At 51.4% G+C, this 8,246-nt stretch overlaps 1 protein-coding gene across 1 annotated transcript in view; it reads right to left on the bottom strand.

The window, feature by feature from the left end:
* Window positions 1,371-8,246, bottom strand: part of NALF2 (NALCN channel auxiliary factor 2) — a 28,183-nt gene continuing 21,307 nt past the window's right edge. Inside the window, exons 2-3 of the mRNA NM_015686.3 lie at window positions 4,715-4,886; window positions 1,371-4,308 (exon numbers count right to left, since the gene is read on the bottom strand). Of these exons, the coding sequence (NP_056501.2) occupies window positions 3,923-4,308; window positions 4,715-4,886 (558 nt within the window). The 3' untranslated portion in view covers window positions 1,371-3,922. The remainder of the gene's footprint in view (window positions 4,309-4,714; window positions 4,887-8,246) is intronic.

Here is an 8,246-nt window from a genome sequence, read left to right as displayed (position 1 = left end):
GGGGGCGGGTCCCCGGTGAGGCCCCACCTTCAGGCCAGCAAGGGTCTGAAGGCTGGGGGCCAGGCTGCCAGTCCCACAGACTGGAGTGGGAACTTGTGGTGCCTTTTCTGGGCCTGCCCATGGCTGCCCATGGGCCAATCGGTGCACACTTCCTCCCCTCTGAGGCCCATAAAAGCCCTGGGTTCAGCCAGAGTTGAGCAGATGACAGGATGACCAGCTGCAGTGAGGAGCTACCCTCTCTGCTGAGAGCTTCAGAGACCTGCAGAGATGTCAGGACTACCAGCTGCAGAGAGGAGCTACCCTCTCCAGGGCCTCCTCTCTGCTGAGAGCTGCAGAGATGACAGGATGACCTGCCTGCAGAGGAGCTACCCACTGTGGGTCCCCTCTGAGCTGTTCTAACACTCAATAAAGCCCCTCTTTGTCTTGCTCACCCTCCACTTGTCTGCATACTTCATTCTTCCTGGATGCAGGACAAGAACTTGGGCAAAAGTGTCACTGACCACAGAGGTTTCCGGCCAGAAAAGTGACACCCCAAAGATGCCGTAACAATGGCGCTGGCTAGACTTGGAACTCATATGGTCTGGCTCCGGCGACCATGCTGTGACCTCCATGTTATGCTGCTTTTGGGGAAGTGGAGTGGGCTCATGTTTTCTTGGAAAAGTAATTTGGCAGCTCAGTCAGGACACCAGCCTCTCTCCTGACCATGCTCTCCTTTCCCCATTTATGTGAAAGCAGTGTTAGTGATGGAGAGCCCTGTCTTCCACCCCTCCAGCAGTTGTCGCCAAGTGACCTTCCTTCTGTGGTGGGACGATGGGTCTGGTTAAGAGGTGTAGGAGAGATGAGGCTGGCAGACTAGAACTGAAGGCTGCAACAAAAGCAAGAACTGGCAATCCCCAGGCCATGTAGAGCCTACAGACTTGTTTAGCCCTCATGGAGGTAGGTTTGTTAGTTTTTATACTTGAGCCAACATTTATGAATTAGGGGGCTTCATGTTAGAATCCCCAGTCCTAACTTCCCTTGAAGAATGAGAAGATTGGCAACACTGGACCTACATTCCCCAAGACAACCCTGGGCTTCAGCTGCCTCCTTTGCACATGTCCTGCAGTTCTCAGCACTCAAATTGGAGTCTGCACTTTTCCCCAACCTGGCCTACTTCACTCTGTACAGTGATCTGCCTGATCCCTGCAGGTGGCTGGCTTTGTGAGTCCTTGTCTTGAATGGTCTACTACAGTCTACCCTTTCTTCCTGAGATTTGAGCTGACAGAGAGCTGGGCACAGGGTCAACATCTCTGGTCCCACCCCCTCCCCAAGCCACAGACTTTCCTAATGCAGCAAGCTCAACTCCACAGAACAAAGCCATGAAGGGAGGGTTATCATCAAGTCTTACCATTTATTTCTTTATGGGGTTAAACAAGAGCAGAGAGGCCTCTGCCCCACAATGCAACAAAACAGAAAGCAGTACATATACAGAGACTCTCACCGAAACACAGAGGCAGGGTAAGAGGGAGGGCAGAGACAACTGAATCATAGCTGGGTAAGGGAGGAAGGGATGGGGGACTACTAGGAAACCAGTTTGGAGACTCAGTCATAGGAACTAGTGCAAGAAAGTCCTACTCATGAAGCACAGTGTAGAAAATGGCATAAGAAAGCTGCCCGGCTCTGCTGTCTGTGATGGAGGGCAGGGGCAGCCGGAGAGGTGGTGGAAGATTAGGGTGGTGGGGTGGATGGGGGCAGTCAAATGACTTTGAGGTGGAGTGAGGTGCCCCTTTCCCCTGCCACTGGGCAAGGCCTTGGGCTGGTCTGAGCCAGGGGTCTCCTGGGCACTTGGTGAGGGGGAAGAGAGGATGGGAGTCTCCAAGGGTCCATTCCCTGGGGCCATATGGTTTCCCTTTACTTCCCAGTCCCTTTTCCCCTTCTGAGGATGCAGGAGTTAGAAGGCAGTACCTAGGGTCTCTCTGGAGCCCAAGCACCTGCCCCTTTACTTATACATAAGCATGTCTGGAAAGGAGCCAGCACCTCTTCCCCTCCCCAGCTGAAAAGAGCACTCTAGGGATGGGGTATGTGACCAGGCCCAAAGTGCTGAGGGCCAAACGGGAGTGTGTAGGCAGGGCACAGGGGTAGGGTTGGGGGATAGGCTGTAATAAATGAGAAAACTGGCAGGGAAGGACTCCCCAGTCTCATGTAATCAGTCTGGGACCTAGCCGAGGCCCATGAATGATTCCTTCTCCATTCATCCCTAAGCTGACCAAGGCCAGCTCTCCCTTCCCCATCCGCTTCTTGGTTTCACTCTCACGCAGCTCCAGGCCCGCCCTCCCATTCACTCACTAGCATCACATCCCAGGACACAGGCCCTGCTGGCACTAAAGGCTCCCTGGCCTGTCCCAGGTATACAGCTCTGGCTCCCTTTCCTGTCCATTCGTATCAGCATTCAGATGTCCCAGGCAATGTGGGATCCCCCCTACTCCCCAACCCCACACAGCAGACCAGAGCAAGGCTAATGGCTCCCAAGGGGGCTCTCAATGCCTCTTCTCTTGTCCAGTCCTCTAGCCTGACTCAACAGTTTCTCAGCCAAGATATGACAGCACATTATCTTTAGTCAAAGGGTCTTCTTGCCAGTCCCTGGACTTTCTCTTGCAAGAGGCCGGGGTGACTGGAGCAGAAGACCCTGCTACAGGGTGAAGAGGAGTATGGGTGTTTCGCAATTGGGACAGTAACCCATAGAGTCAGGGATGGAAAGGTGTGAATACTCTTTGGTAGGCTGGGGACGGGGACAGGGTGGGGATAGGGGAGGCTCATCTCTGGAGAGCTCTGGGGCAATGCCACCAGGTTCTCCTTCATGGAGGCCTGGGCTAGGACAAGATAGGGGAGTATAAGGACCTGGGCCAGGCCTGACCCACTTGGGCTTAAGTCCCTCCTCCCCATGGAGATCGGAAATGGAAATGTCTTTGGCCCCAAGGCCAAGATCTCCAGGGCAAGAGTGGCCCTTGGGAGTATGTGCACCTTCTGTAAGATATGGTCCTTCAGACAGCGGCAGTCTAACCATGTGCCTGCAGCCTTTTGTTTTGAGGCCCAGCAACTCAGTTCCTGTGCTCTTTCCCCAGAGGGCTCCTAATGCAATTCTCACTGATTTGGGGAGCAGTTCTCGAGCCTACCTCAACACTTATCGCCCATCTCCCCAAAGCCGGGTGGCAGTAGCCTATTCGGCCATGTCTTCAAGCCCTCTGTCCACATTTCTCCTCTCCTCTCCCCCTTCCGTATCTCCACTCTCTTTCACCATTCATTCTGTACCCCTTTCCTGCCCCTCATTGCCTAGGGTGGTGGGGCACAGCTTAACTGGGGCCCCGACCTAGCTGCAACTGTGTGCACCTCATCTCCCAGCCTGGTGCTTCACGTGTGATGGTCCCAGGTGGGGCAAGGTGTGCTGAAGTGGCAGGAGGGCCATTGCACTGTCTGCCGTCGCCTGTAGGGATATGGGCAGGAGGGAATTAAGGATCTTGGCAACAAAAGGAATGTGGAGTGGGGGAAAGAGCTTCTCCCCTCTGTGCCCCCCAACATTCCCTGCAGGGCCAAGGCTGGGTGAGCAGCCTCCTTCCCTGGGGTCAGGGCTTTTGGCAGGGGTGGGCATATCCAGCCCCCACTTCCTCCCTTTTTTTGCTAAGCCCCATAGATGGGAGCTTGGGAGGGGTCACTTGCTGCTCCTGCCTTTTTCTCCTGGATGAGTTTTGCAGCTCCCTGAGGCCCTCTGGCCATTCTGTTGGAGCTGCTTTTGGGGTGGGGGTAGGTTGGGGGGGATGTGTCATTCCCCCATTTCCCCCGCCCCCACCTTATCCTACACCTCCCATGGGAGGAGCCCCCTCCCCCCCAACCTGGGGGAGCTGGAGCTGATGTCAGTGTGGTGGAGGTCTGTCCTCCCTCCCTACTGTCACTCTTCCCGTGTCAGGCCCTCCTCTAGGGCAGGCAGTGTCTCCAGCCCCAATCCCCCACCACCCTGGTTGCTGGAGAAGGACACCACGGTATGGAGGAGCATGAGAACAAGGACGCAGAGCCGGATCCTGCTAGGGCTGAGGCGGGAGCCCCCAGAGACCGGCAGCAGGGCGGGCTTGTTGCTGACACGGCCTGGGGGATCATGATGGGGGTGGTAGTGATGGTACTGTTGGTGGTAGTGGTGGAAATAGGAGTGGTGGAATTGCTGCTGGTGGGTTTTGGGGGCCTCAGACTCCTTGAACTTCTTCTTCTTCGCCTCACAGGAGACCCACTGCACGTCACAGCACTTGGTTTCCAGACGCTTTGGTGAAGTATCCAGCAACCCTGCCAATGGATAAGGAAGGTGTGGTGGGGTGCTCGGGGAGCTGATAGCTATGCCTTACCTAGGGAGCAAGTTTCCAGAGCTGGGGCTGCTCAAGTAGCCTCATCTAAGGCTCCCTCCCCACAGCCCTCGACACTTGCCCTTTCTGAGCCCTTCTTTCCTGGGGACCCCAGCCAGTTTCTTTGGGATGACTCCCTGGACATGTTTTGGGCAGAGAAGGACACTCTGGTCTTTTTCCCTATTCCACTTGGCCCTATCCCAACCTGGGGACGTCACTGCCCATTCGTCCAGCCACTGGCCTTCTTCTCACCTGACTCCCCTGTTGTTATCCCTGCTCCCAACTCCTCTGACCTGATGCCTGCCCTGGGCCCCCGGCCTCCTCCCTCTTCCCCAGTGCCCTGCCTTTACCTGTACAGATAAAGCCAGGGAGCCCTCCGTACACCATTTCCTCATTGTCGGGGAGTATAAAGGGGCACCGGGTCTGCACCTCCAGGCAGTATTGCTTGCAGGGCACCCAGCGCTGGCATTCCTGCTGGGTCACGCTGAAGTATTCTGAGCACAGCCAGGCCTTGTAGACAGCCTGTGGGGAGAGGAAAGAGCATCAGCCCATGTGCCAGCCCCTTCCCACCTCAGAGGAGAGGGATGGGAGGACTTACTTGTGGTCTCTCAAGGGGGCCTCACCAACCTAACCCCAAGATCCAGGGGGTAGAGAGGAAGAAGGGCTTGGATCAAGGCCACTGCATCTTACCTAAGATCTCCGATTTCATAGCCAGTACTCCCAAGCACCCCAGTCTGCAGTCATCCAAGACTCAAAATTTGTGTGTTGGCAAAGATCACAAAATTACTGGAAGGTCAGAACTGGAAGGAGCCTTGCCAATCATTCCATGCAACCCTGTCATTTTACACTTGGTCCAAGGAAGTATCTGACTTGTCTGAGACTACCTATATATAATGAGGCAAATGTCAGTTCTGTTCAATTCAGCAAACATTTCTTTGGCTGATGGTATTGAGTTTCTAAATTCAAGAAAGAGAAAGAATAATCCTTGCTTTACCTCATTAGGGTGTTGTATGGATGAAATAATATGGCATATATGAAAATGTTTTGTAAACTCTGAAGTGTAATGTAAATGTGAGGGGTTATTTTTAATAATAAAAAAAAAACCAGGAACCTGCCTTACCAGGCAACACATGTGCCTTTGAGCTCTACTTGATCCATGCTCTGCCCTATTGGCTTCCGCTCTGGCATGGAGCAGACATCAAACACACTGCTACGTTTCATTTGGAACCTCTGCTTTGCAGTTTCACTTCATGGGTATGCTTCCTGTCCCTCATCTAGTCCACTCCTACCAGGCACTGGGTCCTAGCTAAGGAAGATTCCCTGCTCCATACTCTTTGGTTATCATCAAGCCCAGGGTTTCTTAACAGTGATACTACTGACATTATGGGTCAGATAATTCTTTGTTGTGGGGGCTGTCCTGTACACTGCAGGATACTGCACAACATCTCTGGCCTCTACCCATTACACAGTAGTAGCATTCTCTCCCCTCACCTCTTGTGAAAACCAAAAAAAAAAACAACAACAAAAAAAAACCAAAAAAAATGTCTCCAGCCATTGTCAAATGTTCCCCTGGGGTAGGGGTATTGTCTCCAGTTGTCAACCACTGATCCACTGATCTAGGTCCTTGCTCTTCAAAGTGTGGACCTGGACCAGCAGCATCACCATCACCTAGGAGCTTGTGAGAGATGCAGAATCTCAGGCTCCACCCCCGACCTGCCAAGTCAGCATCTGCATTTTAACAGATGCCCAGATGGCTCTCATGCACCTTGCCTGTTCCTGTCTTGCCACCCACATCCAGTCCTGTATCTTTAGGGGTGCTTTCTAGGTTCATTGTTGTTCCTCACAGCAATGGTTCTCAGACTTCAGAGTGCCTCAGAACCCCCTGAAGCATTTGTTAAAATATGCAGATGTCTCCCTCTGTTTCAGCTTCAAGAGGACGGAGGTGGGCTCAGAATCTGCATTTCTGAGCCAGGTCCAGGTCACTGTGCCACAGGAGGCTCTTCTACCATATTCTGAGCAACATGGTTTCAGAAGCACTGTCAGTTTCTTATACTTACTTCAAACATTTTCACTAAACTACAAATAACTGCTGTGAACATGGACTTTGGCAATGCAATCCCACACTGGCCTTTTCCAAAGCAGGGAGGTACTAGTGGGTGATGGGGTAGGTTGTGTTGCTAACCAGTCCCCCAAAGAGCAAAGCATTGCTTGGGACTTCGGTATCTCACAGGCATCTCAAATTTAACATGTTATAAATTTTAAAATGTAGATCTTATTTTTTTAATCCCCAATCCACTGTCCTCCTCAAGTCTTGACCATTTCAGTGAGTGCCATGAAACCTAGATGTCAGCCTTCATTTCCGTTTCTCTGTATCCCCACATCTAGTCCATCAGCAAGGCATGCCAATTGTAGCTCCACATCTATGCCTTTGGGCAAGCCATCATCATCTCTCACCTGGATGACAGTCTCCCATCTGGCCTCTCCACCTGCACCCTTGCTCTTTCCAATCCACTGTCCACACAGGAGGAAGAGTGGTCTCAAAACGCAATTGACTCATGTTACTCCTTTGCTCCAAACCCTTTGATGCATTTAGAATTAAGCTTCTGACCACAGACTTCTAGCCCTCGTATAACTTTGCTCCTGTCTTTCTCTCCAACTTCATTTTCTTTCTTTTCCTTGAACATGCCCTACTTGTTCCCACCTCAGGGCCTTGGCACATGCTATTCTTTTGGCCCAGAATGCTCTTCCCCCTACTCTTGACATGTCTGGGTCATTCTCACTTTTCAGGTCTCAGTTTAAATGTCCTCTCCTCAGAGAGGATCTCCCTTACCCCTCTCACCAAAGGATGCTGCCCTCATTATTCTCTTTTCCTTGTTTCTTCACCACAAGTATTACTTTCTCTGCACTCTTGTTTTGTTCCTGTCAGCCCCACTAAAATGTGAGTTGCACGTAAGCAGACATGGGTTTGCTTTATTAACTGTTGTATACTCGGCACAATATACACTTTAAAAAATCTGTTGAATGAATGAACAGGACAAGTAAATGAGGACATGTCCCTACGCTCATGAAAATTCCAGTTTCATGGGTAGACACATCTAATTTGAATCTATGGCATATGATCTATAGAAAGGAGAGTTCAAACCATGGACCACTGGAGGGAAGCAAGTAGAGAAGCAGGGAAAGATTTCAGTGGTGGGAGAACAGTTGAGCTTGGACTCAAATCAGGATGTTAGATGGGATGGGTAGAGATGAGGTAAATGGGCATTCCAGGCTGAGACAATAGCTTAAGCAAAGGTATGTCGGCAAACAAATCCATGGTGTGTTAAGAGAACAGAGAATGGTTTTGTATGAATGGAATGAAAAGGGCATTGGTGATCTCTTGCTCATGGACACTTATTTCCACATTTTCACTATTATGAACAACGCTCCAGTGACTGTCTTTATACACACATCTCTCACACACTTGTGTTAAATTTTATTTATATAAATTCCTAAATATGAAATTACTGGGCTAAAAGAGTATGTGAAAAGGAACGGGAAAAGAGTGAAAGGAGGGTGAAAAAACAGGTGAAAATAGGAGGCAGGGTAAGAGAGCTGGAGGGTTAAAGGAGGGCAGGAAGAGAGGGGTTTGAGGGGTATGAGAGAGTGGCAGTTGGGGTAAGGGGTGGAAGACAGGAGGTGTATAGCAAAGAGAGGGTAAGGAATGGTAGGAATAGTGGGGGTAGGAAACAACGGGGTTGGGGAGAAAGAGCCAGGGAATTAGAGGTGGAGGGTGTAAGGGAGGTGAAGGGTTAAGAGTGGGGTGAGGGTGAAAGAAGTTGAAAGGTAGGGACATAACAGAGGGTGAGATAGGGGTAAGCGGAGCTGTTAAGAGGAAGCGGT

The sequence above is a fragment of the Homo sapiens genome, chromosome X (genome assembly GCF_000001405.40).
Source record: "Homo sapiens chromosome X, GRCh38.p14 Primary Assembly".
NCBI lineage: Eukaryota > Metazoa > Chordata > Mammalia > Primates > Hominidae > Homo > Homo sapiens.
This window is presented reverse-complemented; position numbering and strand designations above follow the sequence as displayed.